Source organism: Homo sapiens, chromosome 5 (assembly GCF_000001405.40).
Source record: "Homo sapiens chromosome 5, GRCh38.p14 Primary Assembly".
NCBI lineage: Eukaryota > Metazoa > Chordata > Mammalia > Primates > Hominidae > Homo > Homo sapiens.
This window is the reverse complement of record NC_000005.10, coordinates 1,293,263-1,306,086: the sequence shown is the minus strand read 5'-3', so window position 1 is coordinate 1,306,086 and position 12,824 is coordinate 1,293,263. Positions and strand designations below refer to the sequence as shown.

General features: G+C 51.7%; 1 protein-coding gene across 4 annotated transcripts in view, besides 53 other annotated features; it reads left to right on the top strand.

The window, feature by feature from the left end:
- Window positions 7,099-11,459: a promoter, noted in NCBI's record as "P-3996; PstI/EcoRI fragment". NCBI's record gives the evidence for it as "EXISTENCE:reporter gene assay evidence [ECO:0000049][PMID:9887342]".
- Window positions 7,954-8,354: a DNaseI hypersensitive site, noted in NCBI's record as "2.9 kb DH site; the nucleotide coordinates are approximate for this feature". NCBI's record gives the evidence for it as "EXISTENCE:in vivo cleavage assay evidence [ECO:0001075][PMID:15516693]".
- Window positions 8,281-8,303: a protein binding site, noted in NCBI's record as "-2792/-2815 Cbfa1 site 4". NCBI's record gives the evidence for it as "EXISTENCE:protein binding evidence [ECO:0000024][PMID:17352650]".
- Window positions 8,339-8,360: an enhancer, noted in NCBI's record as "-2678 ERE". NCBI's record gives its function as "estrogen-responsive enhancer" and the evidence as "EXISTENCE:reporter gene assay evidence [ECO:0000049][PMID:10606235]".
- Window positions 8,339-8,360: a protein binding site, noted in NCBI's record as "-2678 ERE". NCBI's record gives its function as "positive regulation of enhancer activity" and the evidence as "EXISTENCE:protein binding evidence [ECO:0000024][PMID:10606235]".
- Window positions 8,480-8,514: a protein binding site, noted in NCBI's record as "DR3' element". NCBI's record gives its function as "negative regulation of promoter activity" and the evidence as "EXISTENCE:protein binding evidence [ECO:0000024][PMID:12939463]".
- Window positions 8,496-8,896: a DNaseI hypersensitive site, noted in NCBI's record as "2.3 kb DH site; the nucleotide coordinates are approximate for this feature". NCBI's record gives the evidence for it as "EXISTENCE:in vivo cleavage assay evidence [ECO:0001075][PMID:15516693]".
- Window positions 9,277-9,677: a DNaseI hypersensitive site, noted in NCBI's record as "hHS3; 1.5 kb DH site; the nucleotide coordinates are approximate for this feature". NCBI's record gives the evidence for it as "EXISTENCE:in vivo cleavage assay evidence [ECO:0001075][PMID:15516693, PMID:19270068]".
- Window positions 9,667-9,692: a protein binding site, noted in NCBI's record as "PRE1". NCBI's record gives its function as "negative regulation of promoter activity" and the evidence as "EXISTENCE:protein binding evidence [ECO:0000024][PMID:21300782]".
- Window positions 9,686-9,711: a protein binding site, noted in NCBI's record as "PRE2". NCBI's record gives its function as "negative regulation of promoter activity" and the evidence as "EXISTENCE:protein binding evidence [ECO:0000024][PMID:21300782]".
- Window positions 9,812-9,824: a protein binding site, noted in NCBI's record as "CEBP-BS-1". NCBI's record gives the evidence for it as "EXISTENCE:protein binding evidence [ECO:0000024][PMID:23023397]".
- Window positions 10,143-10,168: a protein binding site, noted in NCBI's record as "-949/-935 ERE". NCBI's record gives its function as "positive regulation of promoter activity" and the evidence as "EXISTENCE:protein binding evidence [ECO:0000024][PMID:10805720]".
- Window positions 10,209-10,231: a protein binding site, noted in NCBI's record as "-450/-473 Cbfa1 site 1". NCBI's record gives the evidence for it as "EXISTENCE:protein binding evidence [ECO:0000024][PMID:17352650]".
- Window positions 10,263-10,283: a nucleotide motif, noted in NCBI's record as "nucleotide_motif; homopurine-homopyrimidine tract". NCBI's record gives the evidence for it as "COORDINATES:motif similarity evidence [ECO:0000028][PMID:17560709]".
- Window positions 10,324-10,351: a protein binding site, noted in NCBI's record as "-687 MZF2 site". NCBI's record gives its function as "negative regulation of promoter activity" and the evidence as "EXISTENCE:protein binding evidence [ECO:0000024][PMID:10871406]".
- Window positions 10,342-11,058: an enhancer, noted in NCBI's record as "H3K27ac-H3K4me1 hESC enhancer chr5:1295144-1295860 (GRCh37/hg19 assembly coordinates)". NCBI's record gives its function as "activates a minimal SCP1, AML or CMV promoter by ChIP-STARR-seq in naive H9 embryonic stem cells {active_cell/tissue: H9 hESC(naive)}" and the evidence as "EXISTENCE:reporter gene assay evidence [ECO:0000049][PMID:30033119]".
- Window positions 10,353-10,377: a protein binding site, noted in NCBI's record as "TBE". NCBI's record gives its function as "mediates activation of promoter by Wnt signalling" and the evidence as "EXISTENCE:protein binding evidence [ECO:0000024][PMID:22854964]".
- Window positions 10,456-10,465: a protein binding site, noted in NCBI's record as "CEBP-BS-2". NCBI's record gives the evidence for it as "EXISTENCE:protein binding evidence [ECO:0000024][PMID:23023397]".
- Window positions 10,601-11,401: a DNaseI hypersensitive site, noted in NCBI's record as "HS1; the nucleotide coordinates are approximate for this feature". NCBI's record gives the evidence for it as "EXISTENCE:in vivo cleavage assay evidence [ECO:0001075][PMID:12611896, PMID:15516693]".
- Window positions 10,673-10,762: a silencer, noted in NCBI's record as "silent region_15881". NCBI's record gives its function as "represses an Ori minimal core promoter by ATAC-STARR-seq in GM12878 lymphoblastoid cells {active_cell/tissue: GM12878}" and the evidence as "EXISTENCE:reporter gene assay evidence [ECO:0000049][PMID:35858748]".
- Window positions 10,734-10,750: a protein binding site, noted in NCBI's record as "WT1 site". NCBI's record gives its function as "negative regulation of promoter activity" and the evidence as "EXISTENCE:protein binding evidence [ECO:0000024][PMID:10601322]".
- Window positions 10,734-10,750: a protein binding site, noted in NCBI's record as "WT1 site". NCBI's record gives its function as "positive regulation of promoter activity" and the evidence as "EXISTENCE:protein binding evidence [ECO:0000024][PMID:17485108]".
- Window positions 10,768-11,459: a promoter, noted in NCBI's record as "P-330; PstI/XmaI fragment". NCBI's record gives the evidence for it as "EXISTENCE:reporter gene assay evidence [ECO:0000049][PMID:9887342]".
- Window positions 10,825-10,846: a protein binding site, noted in NCBI's record as "SMAD site 1". NCBI's record gives its function as "mediates repression by transforming growth factor beta" and the evidence as "EXISTENCE:protein binding evidence [ECO:0000024][PMID:16785237]".
- Window positions 10,837-10,860: a protein binding site, noted in NCBI's record as "E2F site". NCBI's record gives the evidence for it as "EXISTENCE:protein binding evidence [ECO:0000024][PMID:11433024]".
- Window positions 10,844-10,863: a protein binding site, noted in NCBI's record as "EtsA; core binding site altered by polymorphism at rs2853669". NCBI's record gives the evidence for it as "EXISTENCE:protein binding evidence [ECO:0000024][PMID:18586674]".
- Window positions 10,848-10,869: a protein binding site, noted in NCBI's record as "HRE1". NCBI's record gives its function as "positive regulation of promoter activity" and the evidence as "EXISTENCE:protein binding evidence [ECO:0000024][PMID:15199161]".
- Window positions 10,848-10,869: a protein binding site, noted in NCBI's record as "distal E-box I". NCBI's record gives its function as "negative regulation of promoter activity" and the evidence as "EXISTENCE:protein binding evidence [ECO:0000024][PMID:10723141]".
- Window positions 10,848-10,869: a protein binding site, noted in NCBI's record as "MYC site 1". NCBI's record gives its function as "induces promoter activity" and the evidence as "EXISTENCE:protein binding evidence [ECO:0000024][PMID:9973199, PMID:11102531]".
- Window positions 10,848-10,869: a protein binding site, noted in NCBI's record as "upstream site". NCBI's record gives the evidence for it as "EXISTENCE:protein binding evidence [ECO:0000024][PMID:12044867]".
- Window positions 10,863-10,932: a silencer, noted in NCBI's record as "silent region_15880". NCBI's record gives its function as "represses an Ori minimal core promoter by ATAC-STARR-seq in GM12878 lymphoblastoid cells {active_cell/tissue: GM12878}" and the evidence as "EXISTENCE:reporter gene assay evidence [ECO:0000049][PMID:35858748]".
- Window positions 10,903-10,930: a protein binding site, noted in NCBI's record as "Sp1 site 1; -195/-168". NCBI's record gives its function as "mediates downregulation of promoter activity" and the evidence as "EXISTENCE:protein binding evidence [ECO:0000024][PMID:9973199, PMID:11855854, PMID:12151407]".
- Window positions 10,924-10,945: a protein binding site, noted in NCBI's record as "Sp1 site 2; -119/-98". NCBI's record gives its function as "important for promoter activity" and the evidence as "EXISTENCE:protein binding evidence [ECO:0000024][PMID:15367601]".
- Window positions 10,931-10,998: a sequence secondary structure, noted in NCBI's record as "G-quadruplex region; thought to form multiple G-quadruplex structures,; indicated by circular dichromism, Taq polymersase stop assay, and DMS footprinting". NCBI's record gives the evidence for it as "EXISTENCE:nuclear magnetic resonance spectroscopy evidence [ECO:0001105][PMID:20704263]" and "EXISTENCE:spectrophotometry evidence [ECO:0001126][PMID:19601575]".
- Window positions 10,937-10,989: a protein binding site, noted in NCBI's record as "bait oligo; binding increased with C228T and C250T mutations". NCBI's record gives the evidence for it as "EXISTENCE:protein binding evidence [ECO:0000024][PMID:26553150]".
- Window positions 10,940-10,965: a protein binding site, noted in NCBI's record as "C250T mutation site; binding is strongest in T mutation". NCBI's record gives its function as "bind cooperatively to activate promoter" and the evidence as "EXISTENCE:protein binding evidence [ECO:0000024][PMID:26389665]".
- Window positions 10,965-10,973: a transcriptional cis regulatory region, noted in NCBI's record as "Sp1 site 3". NCBI's record gives its function as "contributes to promoter activity" and the evidence as "EXISTENCE:site-directed mutagenesis evidence [ECO:0005528][PMID:12019268]".
- Window positions 10,985-10,993: a transcriptional cis regulatory region, noted in NCBI's record as "Sp1 site 4". NCBI's record gives its function as "contributes to promoter activity" and the evidence as "EXISTENCE:site-directed mutagenesis evidence [ECO:0005528][PMID:12019268]".
- Window positions 10,990-11,007: a nucleotide motif, noted in NCBI's record as "nucleotide_motif; homopurine-homopyrimidine tract". NCBI's record gives the evidence for it as "COORDINATES:motif similarity evidence [ECO:0000028][PMID:17560709]".
- Window positions 10,991-11,010: a protein binding site, noted in NCBI's record as "EtsB". NCBI's record gives the evidence for it as "EXISTENCE:protein binding evidence [ECO:0000024][PMID:18586674]".
- Window positions 11,001-11,025: a protein binding site, noted in NCBI's record as "Sp1 site 5; corresponds to Sp1/Ap2 site (PMID:11454703) and probe 7 (PMID:9973199)". NCBI's record gives its function as "important for promoter activity" and the evidence as "EXISTENCE:protein binding evidence [ECO:0000024][PMID:9973199, PMID:11064449, PMID:11454703, PMID:16344462]".
- Window positions 11,019-12,824, top strand: part of TERT (telomerase reverse transcriptase) — a 41,902-nt gene continuing 40,096 nt past the window's right edge. For all 4 annotated transcript variants that reach the window (NR_149163.3, NR_149162.3, NM_001193376.3 and 1 more), the window contains exons 1-2: window positions 11,019-11,316; window positions 11,421-12,774. Coding sequence is in view for 2 of the 4 variants with exons in the window: in NM_001193376.3 (NP_001180305.1) it covers window positions 11,098-11,316; window positions 11,421-12,774 (1,573 nt within the window). In the remaining 2 variants the exon portion in view is untranslated. The remainder of the gene's footprint in view (window positions 11,317-11,420; window positions 12,775-12,824) is intronic.
- Window positions 11,021-11,050: a protein binding site, noted in NCBI's record as "KLF2 site". NCBI's record gives its function as "negative regulation of promoter activity" and the evidence as "EXISTENCE:protein binding evidence [ECO:0000024][PMID:25694435]".
- Window positions 11,026-11,078: a protein binding site, noted in NCBI's record as "+4 (53 bp) fragment". NCBI's record gives its function as "negative regulation of promoter activity" and the evidence as "EXISTENCE:protein binding evidence [ECO:0000024][PMID:22240313]".
- Window positions 11,029-11,071: an enhancer, noted in NCBI's record as "IL2 responsive enhancer +9/+51". NCBI's record gives its function as "mediates induction by interleukin 2" and the evidence as "EXISTENCE:reporter gene assay evidence [ECO:0000049][PMID:15629899]".
- Window positions 11,048-11,082: a protein binding site, noted in NCBI's record as "downstream E-box". NCBI's record gives the evidence for it as "EXISTENCE:protein binding evidence [ECO:0000024][PMID:12181331]".
- Window positions 11,052-11,076: a protein binding site, noted in NCBI's record as "-46/-22 probe". NCBI's record gives its function as "negative regulation of promoter activity" and the evidence as "EXISTENCE:protein binding evidence [ECO:0000024][PMID:15331176]".
- Window positions 11,054-11,078: a protein binding site, noted in NCBI's record as "downstream E-box". NCBI's record gives the evidence for it as "EXISTENCE:protein binding evidence [ECO:0000024][PMID:12044867, PMID:12181331]".
- Window positions 11,056-11,077: a protein binding site, noted in NCBI's record as "HRE2". NCBI's record gives its function as "positive regulation of promoter activity" and the evidence as "EXISTENCE:protein binding evidence [ECO:0000024][PMID:15199161]".
- Window positions 11,063-11,095: a transcriptional cis regulatory region, noted in NCBI's record as "E1 box". NCBI's record gives its function as "mediates activation by MYC" and the evidence as "EXISTENCE:deletion mutation evidence [ECO:0005510][PMID:10022128]".
- Window positions 11,070-11,079: a protein binding site, noted in NCBI's record as "E-Box". NCBI's record gives its function as "negative regulation of promoter activity" and the evidence as "EXISTENCE:protein binding evidence [ECO:0000024][PMID:15371341]".
- Window positions 11,081-11,100: a protein binding site, noted in NCBI's record as "KLF4 site". NCBI's record gives its function as "positive regulation of promoter activity" and the evidence as "EXISTENCE:protein binding evidence [ECO:0000024][PMID:20629177]".
- Window positions 11,098-11,454: a transcriptional cis regulatory region, noted in NCBI's record as "+1/+397 region". NCBI's record gives its function as "suppresses promoter activity" and the evidence as "EXISTENCE:reporter gene assay evidence [ECO:0000049][PMID:12480519]".
- Window positions 11,208-11,237: a protein binding site, noted in NCBI's record as "PAX site". NCBI's record gives its function as "positive regulation of promoter activity" and the evidence as "EXISTENCE:protein binding evidence [ECO:0000024][PMID:19806612]".

Genomic DNA, 12,824 nt, shown 5'->3' with positions numbered 1-12,824 from the left:
ACAAACACATGAAAATTAAACAATATACTTCTGAATAACCAGTGAGTCAATGAAGAAATTAAAAAGGAAATTGAAAAATTTATTTAAGCAAATGATAACGGAAACATAACCTCTCAAAACCCACGGTATACAGCAAAAGCAGTGCTAAGAAGGAAGTTTATAGCTATAAGCAGCTACATCAAAAAAGTAGAAAAGCCAGGCGCAGTGGCTCATGCCTGTAATCCCAGCACTTTGGGAGGCCAAGGCGGGCAGATCGCCTGAGGTCAGGAGTTCGAGACCAGCCTGACCAACACAGAGAAACCTTGTCGCTACTAAAAATACAAAATTAGCTGGGCATGGTGGCACATGCCTGTAATCCCAGCTACTCGGGAGGCTGAGGCAGGATAACCGCTTGAACCCAGGAGGTGGAGGTTGCGGTGAGCCGGGATTGCGCCATTGGACTCCAGCCTGGGTAACAAGAGTGAAACCCTGTCTCAAGAAAAAAAAAAAAGTAGAAAAACTTAAAAATACAACCTAATGATGCACCTTAAAGAACTAGAAAAGCAAGAGCAAACTAAACCTAAAATTGGTAAAAGAAAAGAAATAATAAAGATCAGAGCAGAAATAAATGAAACTGAAAGATAACAATACAAAAGATCAACAAAATTAAAAGTTGGTTTTTTGAAAAGATAAACAAAATTGACAAACCTTTGCCCAGACTAAGAAAAAAGGAAAGAAGACCTAAATAAATAAAGTCAGAGATGAAAAAAGAGACATTACAACTGATACCACAGAAATTCAAAGGATCACTAGAGGCTACTATGAGCAACTGTACACTAATAAATTGAAAAACCTAGAAAAAATAGATAAATTCCTAGATGCATACAACCTACCAAGATTGAACCATGAAGAAATCCAAAGCCCAAACAGACCAATAACAATAATGGGATTAAAGCCATAATAAAAAGTCTCCTAGCAAAGAGAAGCCCAGGACCCAATGGCTTCCCTGCTGGATTTTACCAATCATTTAAAGAAGAATGAATTCCAATCCTACTCAAACTATTCTGAAAAATAGAGGAAAGAATACTTCCAAACTCATTCTACATGGCCAGTATTACCCTGATTCCAAAACCAGACAAAAACACATCAAAAACAAACAAACAAAAAAACAGAAAGAAAGAAAACTACAGGCCAATATCCCTGATGAATACTGATACAAAAATCCTCAACAAAACACTAGCAAACCAAATTAAACAACACCTTCGAAAGATCATTCATTGTGATCAAGTGGGATTTATTCCAGGGATGGAAGGATGGTTCAACATATGCAAATCAATCAATGTGATACATCATCCCAACAAAATGAAGTACAAAAACTATATGATTATTTCACTTTATGCAGAAAAAGCATTTGATAAAATTCTGCACCCTTCATGATAAAAACCCTCAAAAAACCAGGTATACAAGAAACATACAGGCCAGGCACAGTGGCTCACACCTGCGATCCCAGCACTCTGGGAGGCCAAGGTGGGATGATTGCTTGGGCCCAGGAGTTTGAGACTAGCCTGGGCAACAAAATGAGACCTGGTCTACAAAAAACTTTTTTAAAAAATTAGCCAGGCATGATGGCATATGCCTGTAGTCCCAGCTAGTCTGGAGGCTGAGGTGGGAGAATCACTTAAGCCTAGGAGGTCGAGGCTGCAGTGAGCCATGAACATGTCACTGTACTCCAGCCTAGACAACAGAACAAGACCCCACTGAATAAGAAGAAGGAGAAGGAGAAGGGAGAAGGGAGGGAGAAGGGAGGAGGAGGAGAAGGAGGAGGTGGAGGAGAAGTGGAAGGGGAAGGGGAAGGGAAAGAGGAAGAAGAAGAAACATATTTCAACATAATAAAAGCCCTATATGACAGACCGAGGTAGTATTATGAGGAAAAACTGAAAGCCTTTCCTCTAAGATCTGGAAAATGACAAGGGCCCACTTTCACCACTGTGATTCAACATAGTACTAGAAGTCCTAGCTAGAGCAATCAGATAAGAGAAAGAAATAAAAGGCATCCAAACTGGAAAGGAAGAAGTCAAATTATCCTGTTTGCAGATGATATGATCTTATATCTGGAAAAGACTTAAGACACCACTAAAAAACTATTAGAGCTGAAATTTGGTACAGCAGGATACAAAATCAATGTACAAAAATCAGTAGTATTTCTATATTCCAACAGCAAACAATCTGAAAAAGAAACCAAAAAAGCAGCTACAAATAAAATTAAACAGCTAGGAATTAACCAAAGAAGTGAAAGATCTCTACAATGAAAACTATAAAATATTGATAAAAGAAATTGAAGAGGGCACAAAAAAAGAAAAGATATTCCATGTTCATAGATTGGAAGAATAAATACTGTTAAAATGTCCATACTACCCAAAGCAATTTACAAATTCAATGCAATCCCTATTAAAATACTAATGACGTTCTTCACAGAAATAGAAGAAACAATTCTAAGATTTGTACAGAACCACAAAAGACCCAGAATAGCCAAAGCTATCCTGACCAAAAAGAACAAAACTGGAAGCATCACATTACCTGACTTCAAATTATACTACAAAGCTATAGTAACCCAAACTACATGGTACTGGCATAAAAACAGATGAGACATGGACCAGAGGAACAGAATAGAGAATCCAGAAACAAATCCATGCATCTACAGTGAACTCATTTTTGACAAAGGTGCCAAGAACATACTTTGGGGAAAAGATAATCTCTTCAATAAATGGTGCTGGAGGAACTGGATATCCATATGCAAAATAACAATACTAGAACTCTGTCTCTCACCATATACAAAAGCAAATCAAAATGGATGAAAGGCTTAAATCTAAAACCTCAAACTTTGCAACTACTAAAAGAAAACACCGGAGAAACTCTCCAGGACATTGGAGTGGGCAAAGACTTCTTGAGTAATTCCCTGCAGGCACAGGCAACCAAAGCAAAAACAGACAAATGGGATCATATCAAGTTAAAAAGCTTCTGCCCAGCAAAGGAAACAATCAACAAAGAGAAGAGACAACCCACAGAATGGGAGAATATATTTGCAAACTATTCATCTAACAAGGAATTAATAACCAGTATATATAAGGAGCTCAAACTACTCTATAAGAAAAACACCTAATAAGCTGATTTTCAAAAATAAGCAAAAGATCTGGGTAGACATTTCTCAAAATAAGTCATACAAATGGCAAACAGGCATCTGAAAATGTGCTCAACACCACTGATCATCAGAGAAATGCAAATCAAAACTACTATGAGAGATCATCTCACCCCAGTTAAAATGGCTTTTATTCAAAAGACAGGCAATAACAAATGCCAGTGAGGATGTGGATAAAAGGAAACCCTTGGACACTGTTGGTGGGAATGGAAATTGCTACCACTATGGAGAACAGTTTGAAAGTTCCTCAAAAAACTAAAAATAAAGCTACCATACAGCAATCCCATTGCTAGGTATATACTCCAAAAAAGGGAATCAGTGTATCAACAAGCTATCTCCACTCCCACATTTACTGCAGCACTGTTCATAGCAGCCAAGGTTTGGAAGCAACCTCAGTGTCCATCAACAGACGAATGGAAAAAGAAAATGTGGTGCACATACACAATGGAGTACTACGCAGCCATAAAAAAGAATGAGATCCTGTCAGTTGCAACAGCATGGGGGGCACTGGTCAGTATGTTAAGTGAAATAAGCCAGGCACAGAAAGACAAACTTTTCATGTTCTCCCTTACTTGTGGGAGCAAAAATTAAAACAATTGACATAGAAATAGAGGAGAATGGTGGTTCTAGAGGGGTGGGGGACAGGGTGACTAGAGTCAACAATAATTTATTGTATGTTTTAAAATAACTAAAAGAGTATAATTGGGTTGTTTGTAACACAAAGAAAGGATAAATGCTTGAAGGTGACAGATACCCCATTTACCCTGATGTGATTATTACACATTGTATGCCTGTATCAAAATATCTCATGTATGCTATAGATATAAACCCTACTATATTAAAAATTAAAATTTTAATGGCCAGGCACGGTGGCTCATGTCCATAATCCCAGCACTTTGGGAGGCCGAGGCGGTGGATCACCTGAGGTCAGGAGTTTGAAACCAGTCTGGCCACCATGATGAAACCCTGTCTCTACTAAAGATACAAAAATTAGCCAGGCGTGGTGGCACATACCTGTAGTCCCAACTACTCAGGAGGCTGAGACAGGAGAATTGCTTGAACCTGGGAGGCGGAGGTTGCAGTGAGCCGAGATCATGCCACTGCACTGCAGCCTGGGTGACAGAGCAAGACTCCATCTCAAAACAAAAACAAAAAAAAGAAGATTAAAATTGTAATTTTTATGTACCGTATAAATATATACTCTACTATATTAGAAGTTAAAAATTAAAACAATTATAAAAGGTAATTAACCACTTAATCTAAAATAAGAACAATGTATGTGGGGTTTCTAGCTTCTGAAGAAGTAAAAGTTATGGCCACGATGGCAGAAATGTGAGGAGGGAACAGTGGAAGTTACTGTTGTTAGACGCTCATACTCTCTGTAAGTGACTTAATTTTAACCAAAGACAGGCTGGGAGAAGTTAAAGAGGCATTCTATAAGCCCTAAAACAACTGCTAATAATGGTGAAAGGTAATCTCTATTAATTACCAATAATTACAGATATCTCTAAAATCGAGCTGCAGAATTGGCACGTCTGATCACACCGTCCTCTCATTCACGGTGCTTTTTTTCTTGTGTGCTTGGAGATTTTCGATTGTGTGTTCGTGTTTGGTTAAACTTAATCTGTATGAATCCTGAAACGAAAAATGGTGGTGATTTCCTCCAGAAGAATTAGAGTACCTGGCAGGAAGCAGGTGGCTCTGTGGACCTGAGCCACTTCAATCTTCAAGGGTCTCTGGCCAAGACCCAGGTGCAAGGCAGAGGCCTGATGACCCGAGGACAGGAAAGCTCGGATGGGAAGGGGCGATGAGAAGCCTGCCTCGTTGGTGAGCAGCGCATGAAGTGCCCTTATTTACGCTTTGCAAAGATTGCTCTGGATACCATCTGGAAAAGGCGGCCAGCGGGAATGCAAGGAGTCAGAAGCCTCCTGCTCAAACCCAGGCCAGCAGCTATGGCGCCCACCCGGGCGTGTGCCAGAGGGAGAGGAGTCAAGGCACCTCGAAGTATGGCTTAAATCTTTTTTTCACCTGAAGCAGTGACCAAGGTGTATTCTGAGGGAAGCTTGAGTTAGGTGCCTTCTTTAAAACAGAAAGTCATGGAAGCACCCTTCTCAAGGGAAAACCAGACGCCCGCTCTGCGGTCATTTACCTCTTTCCTCTCTCCCTCTCTTGCCCTCGCGGTTTCTGATCGGGACAGAGTGACCCCCGTGGAGCTTCTCCGAGCCCGTGCTGAGGACCCTCTTGCAAAGGGCTCCACAGACCCCCGCCCTGGAGAGAGGAGTCTGAGCCTGGCTTAATAACAAACTGGGATGTGGCTGGGGGCGGACAGCGACGGCGGGATTCAAAGACTTAATTCCATGAGTAAATTCAACCTTTCCACATCCGAATGGATTTGGATTTTATCTTAATATTTTCTTAAATTTCATCAAATAACATTCAGGAGTGCAGAAATCCAAAGGCGTAAAACAGGAACTGAGCTATGTTTGCCAAGGTCCAAGGACTTAATAACCATGTTCAGAGGGATTTTTCGCCCTAAGTACTTTTTATTGGTTTTCATAAGGTGGCTTAGGGTGCAAGGGAAAGTACACGAGGAGAGGACTGGGCGGCAGGGCTATGAGCACGGCAAGGCCACCGGGGAGAGAGTCCCCGGCCTGGGAGGCTGAGGCTGACAGCAGGACCACTGACCGTCCTCCCTGGGAGCTGCCACATTGGGCAACGCGAAGGCGGCCACGCTGCGTGTGACTCAGGACCCCATACCGGCTTCCTGGGCCCACCCACACTAACCCAGGAAGTCACGGAGCTCTGAACCCGTGGAAACGAACATGACCCTTGCCTGCCTGCTTCCCTGGGTGGGTCAAGGGTAATGAAGTGGTGTGCAGGAAATGGCCATGTAAATTACACGACTCTGCTGATGGGGACCGTTCCTTCCATCATTATTCATCTTCACCCCCAAGGATTGAATGATTCCAGCAACTTCTTCGGGTGTGACAAGCCATGACAACACTCAGTACAAACACCACTCTTTTACTAGGCCCACAGAGCACGGCCCACACCCCTGATATATTAAGAGTCCAGGAGAGATGAGGCTGCTTTCAGCCACCAGGCTGGGGTGACAACAGCGGCTGAACAGTCTGTTCCTCTAGACTAGTAGACCCTGGCAGGCACTCCCCCAGATTCTAGGGCCTGGTTGCTGCTTCCCGAGGGCGCCATCTGCCCTGGAGACTCAGCCTGGGGTGCCACACTGAGGCCAGCCCTGTCTCCACACCCTCCACCTCCAGGCCTCAGCTTCTCCAGCAGCTTCCTAAACCCTGGGTGGGCCGTGTTCCAGCGCTACTGTCTCACCTGTCCCACTGTGTCTTGTCTCAGCGACGTAGCTCGCACGGTTCCTCCTCACATGGGGTGTCTGTCTCCTTCCCCAACACTCACATGCGTTGAAGGGAGGAGATTCTGCGCCTCCCAGACTGGCTCCTCTGAGCCTGAACCTGGCTCGTGGCCCCCGATGCAGGTTCCTGGCGTCCGGCTGCACGCTGACCTCCATTTCCAGGCGCTCCCCGTCTCCTGTCATCTGCCGGGGCCTGCCGGTGTGTTCTTCTGTTTCTGTGCTCCTTTCCACGTCCAGCTGCGTGTGTCTCTGCCCGCTAGGGTCTGGGGGTTTTTATAGGCATAGGACGGGGGCGTGGTGGGCCAGGGCGCTCTTGGGAAATGCAACATTTGGGTGTGAAAGTAGGAGTGCCTGTCCTCACCTAGGTCCACGGGCACAGGCCTGGGGATGGAGCCCCCGCCAGGGACCCGCCCTTCTCTGCCCAGCACTTTTCTGCCCCCCTCCCTCTGGAACACAGAGTGGCAGTTTCCACAAGCACTAAGCATCCTCTTCCCAAAAGACCCAGCATTGGCACCCCTGGACATTTGCCCCACAGCCCTGGGAATTCACGTGACTACGCACATCATGTACACACTCCCGTCCACGACCGACCCCCGCTGTTTTATTTTAATAGCTACAAAGCAGGGAAATCCCTGCTAAAATGTCCTTTAACAAACTGGTTAAACAAACGGGTCCATCCGCACGGTGGACAGTTCCTCACAGTGAAGAGGAACATGCCGTTTATAAAGCCTGCAGGCATCTCAAGGGAATTACGCTGAGTCAAAACTGCCACCTCCATGGGATACGTACGCAACATGCTCAAAAAGAAAGAATTTCACCCCATGGCAGGGGAGTGGTTAGGGGGGTTAAGGACGGTGGGGGCGGCAGCTGGGGGCTACTGCACGCACCTTTTACTAAAGCCAGTTTCCTGGTTCTGATGGTATTGGCTCAGTTATGGGAGACTAACCATAGGGGAGTGGGGATGGGGGAACCCGGAGGCTGTGCCATCTTTGCCATGCCCGAGTGTCCTGGGCAGGATAATGCTCTAGAGATGCCCACGTCCTGATTCCCCCAAACCTGTGGACAGAACCCGCCCGGCCCCAGGGCCTTTGCAGGTGTGATCTCCGTGAGGACCCTGAGGTCTGGGATCCTTCGGGACTACCTGCAGGCCCGAAAAGTAATCCAGGGGTTCTGGGAAGAGGCGGGCAGGAGGGTCAGAGGGGGGCAGCCTCAGGACGATGGAGGCAGTCAGTCTGAGGCTGAAAAGGGAGGGAGGGCCTCGAGCCCAGGCCTGCAAGCGCCTCCAGAAGCTGGAAAAAGCGGGGAAGGGACCCTCCACGGAGCCTGCAGCAGGAAGGCACGGCTGGCCCTTAGCCCACCAGGGCCCATCGTGGACCTCCGGCCTCCGTGCCATAGGAGGGCACTCGCGCTGCCCTTCTAGCATGAAGTGTGTGGGGATTTGCAGAAGCAACAGGAAACCCATGCACTGTGAATCTAGGATTATTTCAAAACAAAGGTTTACAGAAACATCCAAGGACAGGGCTGAAGTGCCTCCGGGCAAGGGCAGGGCAGGCACGAGTGATTTTATTTAGCTATTTTATTTTATTTACTTACTTTCTGAGACAGAGTTATGCTCTTGTTGCCCAGGCTGGAGTGCAGCGGCATGATCTTGGCTCACTGCAACCTCCGTCTCCTGGGTTCAAGCAATTCTCGTGCCTCAGCCTCCCAAGTAGCTGGGATTTCAGGCATGCACCACCACACCCGGCTAATTTTGTATTTTTAGTAGAGATGGGCTTTCACCATGTTGGTCAGGCTGATCTCAAAATCCTGACCTCAGGTGATCCGCCCACCTCAGCCTCCCAAAGTGCTGGGATTACAGGCATGAGCCACTGCACCTGGCCTATTTAACCATTTTAAAACTTCCCTGGGCTCAAGTCACACCCACTGGTAAGGAGTTCATGGAGTTCAATTTCCCCTTTACTCAGGAGTTACCCTCCTTTGATATTTTCTGTAATTCTTCGTAGACTGGGGATACACCGTCTCTTGACATATTCACAGTTTCTGTGACCACCTGTTATCCCATGGGACCCACTGCAGGGGCAGCTGGGAGGCTGCAGGCTTCAGGTCCCAGTGGGGTTGCCATCTGCCAGTAGAAACCTGATGTAGAATCAGGGCGCGAGTGTGGACACTGTCCTGAATCTCAATGTCTCAGTGTGTGCTGAAACATGTAGAAATTAAAGTCCATCCCTCCTACTCTACTGGGATTGAGCCCCTTCCCTATCCCCCCCCAGGGGCAGAGGAGTTCCTCTCACTCCTGTGGAGGAAGGAATGATACTTTGTTATTTTTCACTGCTGGTACTGAATCCACTGTTTCATTTGTTGGTTTGTTTGTTTTGTTTTGAGAGGCAGTTTCACTCTTGTTGCTCAGGCTGGAGGGAGTGCAATGGCGCGATCTTGGCTTACTGCAGCCTCTGCCTCCCAGGTTCAAGTGATTCTCCTGCTTCCGCCTCCCATTTGGCTGGGATTACAGGCACCCGCCACCATGCCCAGCTAATTTTTTGTATTTTTAGTAGAGACGGGGGTGGGGGTGGGGTTCACCATGTTGGCCAGGCTGGTCTCGAACTTCTGACCTCAGATGATCCACCTGCCTCTGCCTCCTAAAGTGCTGGGATTACAGGTGTGAGCCACCATGCCCAGCTCAGAATTTACTCTGTTTAGAAACATCTGGGTCTGAGGTAGGAAGCTCACCCCACTCAAGTGTTGTGGTGTTTTAAGCCAATGATAGAATTTTTTTATTGTTGTTAGAACACTCTTGATGTTTTACACTGTGATGACTAAGACATCATCAGCTTTTCAAAGACACACTAACTGCACCCATAATACTGGGGTGTCTTCTGGGTATCAGCGATCTTCATTGAATGCCGGGAGGCGTTTCCTCGCCATGCACATGGTGTTAATTACTCCAGCATAATCTTCTGCTTCCATTTCTTCTCTTCCCTCTTTTAAAATTGTGTTTTCTATGTTGGCTTCTCTGCAGAGAACCAGTGTAAGCTACAACTTAACTTTTGTTGGAACAAATTTTCCAAACCGCCCCTTTGCCCTAGTGGCAGAGACAATTCACAAACACAGCCCTTTAAAAAGGCTTAGGGATCACTAAGGGGATTTCTAGAAGAGCGACCTGTAATCCTAAGTATTTACAAGACGAGGCTAACCTCCAGCGAGCGTGACAGCCCAGGGAGGGTGCGAGGCCTGTTCAAATGCTAGCTCCATAAATAAAGCAATTTCCTCCGGCAGTTTCTGAAAGTAGGAAAGGTTACATTTAAGGTTGCGTTTGTTAGCATTTCAGTGTTTGCCGACCTCAGCTACAGCATCCCTGCAAGGCCTCGGGAGACCCAGAAGTTTCTCGCCCCTTAGATCCAAACTTGAGCAACCCGGAGTCTGGATTCCTGGGAAGTCCTCAGCTGTCCTGCGGTTGTGCCGGGGCCCCAGGTCTGGAGGGGACCAGTGGCCGTGTGGCTTCTACTGCTGGGCTGGAAGTCGGGCCTCCTAGCTCTGCAGTCCGAGGCTTGGAGCCAGGTGCCTGGACCCCGAGGTTGCCCTCCACCCTGTGCGGGCGGGATGTGACCAGATGTTGGCCTCATCTGCCAGACAGAGTGCCGGGGCCCAGGGTCAAGGCCGTTGTGGCTGGTGTGAGGCGCCCGGTGCGCGGCCAGCAGGAGCGCCTGGCTCCATTTCCCACCCTTTCTCGACGGGACCGCCCCGGTGGGTGATTAACAGATTTGGGGTGGTTTGCTCATGGTGGGGACCCCTCGCCGCCTGAGAACCTGCAAAGAGAAATGACGGGCCTGTGTCAAGGAGCCCAAGTCGCGGGGAAGTGTTGCAGGGAGGCACTCCGGGAGGTCCCGCGTGCCCGTCCAGGGAGCAATGCGTCCTCGGGTTCGTCCCCAGCCGCGTCTACGCGCCTCCGTCCTCCCCTTCACGTCCGGCATTCGTGGTGCCCGGAGCCCGACGCCCCGCGTCCGGACCTGGAGGCAGCCCTGGGTCTCCGGATCAGGCCAGCGGCCAAAGGGTCGCCGCACGCACCTGTTCCCAGGGCCTCCACATCATGGCCCCTCCCTCGGGTTACCCCACAGCCTAGGCCGATTCGACCTCTCTCCGCTGGGGCCCTCGCTGGCGTCCCTGCACCCTGGGAGCGCGAGCGGCGCGCGGGCGGGGAAGCGCGGCCCAGACCCCCGGGTCCGCCCGGAGCAGCTGCGCTGTCGGGGCCAGGCCGGGCTCCCAGTGGATTCGCGGGCACAGACGCCCAGGACCGCGCTTCCCACGTGGCGGAGGGACTGGGGACCCGGGCACCCGTCCTGCCCCTTCACCTTCCAGCTCCGCCTCCTCCGCGCGGACCCCGCCCCGTCCCGACCCCTCCCGGGTCCCCGGCCCAGCCCCCTCCGGGCCCTCCCAGCCCCTCCCCTTCCTTTCCGCGGCCCCGCCCTCTCCTCGCGGCGCGAGTTTCAGGCAGCGCTGCGTCCTGCTGCGCACGTGGGAAGCCCTGGCCCCGGCCACCCCCGCGATGCCGCGCGCTCCCCGCTGCCGAGCCGTGCGCTCCCTGCTGCGCAGCCACTACCGCGAGGTGCTGCCGCTGGCCACGTTCGTGCGGCGCCTGGGGCCCCAGGGCTGGCGGCTGGTGCAGCGCGGGGACCCGGCGGCTTTCCGCGCGCTGGTGGCCCAGTGCCTGGTGTGCGTGCCCTGGGACGCACGGCCGCCCCCCGCCGCCCCCTCCTTCCGCCAGGTGGGCCTCCCCGGGGTCGGCGTCCGGCTGGGGTTGAGGGCGGCCGGGGGGAACCAGCGACATGCGGAGAGCAGCGCAGGCGACTCAGGGCGCTTCCCCCGCAGGTGTCCTGCCTGAAGGAGCTGGTGGCCCGAGTGCTGCAGAGGCTGTGCGAGCGCGGCGCGAAGAACGTGCTGGCCTTCGGCTTCGCGCTGCTGGACGGGGCCCGCGGGGGCCCCCCCGAGGCCTTCACCACCAGCGTGCGCAGCTACCTGCCCAACACGGTGACCGACGCACTGCGGGGGAGCGGGGCGTGGGGGCTGCTGCTGCGCCGCGTGGGCGACGACGTGCTGGTTCACCTGCTGGCACGCTGCGCGCTCTTTGTGCTGGTGGCTCCCAGCTGCGCCTACCAGGTGTGCGGGCCGCCGCTGTACCAGCTCGGCGCTGCCACTCAGGCCCGGCCCCCGCCACACGCTAGTGGACCCCGAAGGCGTCTGGGATGCGAACGGGCCTGGAACCATAGCGTCAGGGAGGCCGGGGTCCCCCTGGGCCTGCCAGCCCCGGGTGCGAGGAGGCGCGGGGGCAGTGCCAGCCGAAGTCTGCCGTTGCCCAAGAGGCCCAGGCGTGGCGCTGCCCCTGAGCCGGAGCGGACGCCCGTTGGGCAGGGGTCCTGGGCCCACCCGGGCAGGACGCGTGGACCGAGTGACCGTGGTTTCTGTGTGGTGTCACCTGCCAGACCCGCCGAAGAAGCCACCTCTTTGGAGGGTGCGCTCTCTGGCACGCGCCACTCCCACCCATCCGTGGGCCGCCAGCACCACGCGGGCCCCCCATCCACATCGCGGCCACCACGTCCCTGGGACACGCCTTGTCCCCCGGTGTACGCCGAGACCAAGCACTTCCTCTACTCCTCAGGCGACAAGGAGCAGCTGCGGCCCTCCTTCCTACTCAGCTCTCTGAGGCCCAGCCTGACTGGCGCTCGGAGGCTCGTGGAGACCATCTTTCTGGGTTCCAGGCCCTGGATGCCAGGGACTCCCCGCAGGTTGCCCCGCCTGCCCCAGCGCTACTGGCAAATGCGGCCCCTGTTTCTGGAGCTGCTTGGGAACCACGCGCAGTGCCCCTACGGGGTGCTCCTCAAGACGCACTGCCCGCTGCGAGCTGCGGTCACCCCAGCAGCCGGTGTCTGTGCCCGGGAGAAGCCCCAGGGCTCTGTGGCGGCCCCCGAGGAGGAGGACACAGACCCCCGTCGCCTGGTGCAGCTGCTCCGCCAGCACAGCAGCCCCTGGCAGGTGTACGGCTTCGTGCGGGCCTGCCTGCGCCGGCTGGTGCCCCCAGGCCTCTGGGGCTCCAGGCACAACGAACGCCGCTTCCTCAGGAACACCAAGAAGTTCATCTCCCTGGGGAAGCATGCCAAGCTCTCGCTGCAGGAGCTGACGTGGAAGATGAGCGTGCGGGACTGCGCTTGGCTGCGCAGGAGCCCAGGTGAGGAGGTGGTGGCCGTCGAGGGCCCAGGCCCCAGAGCTGAATGCAGT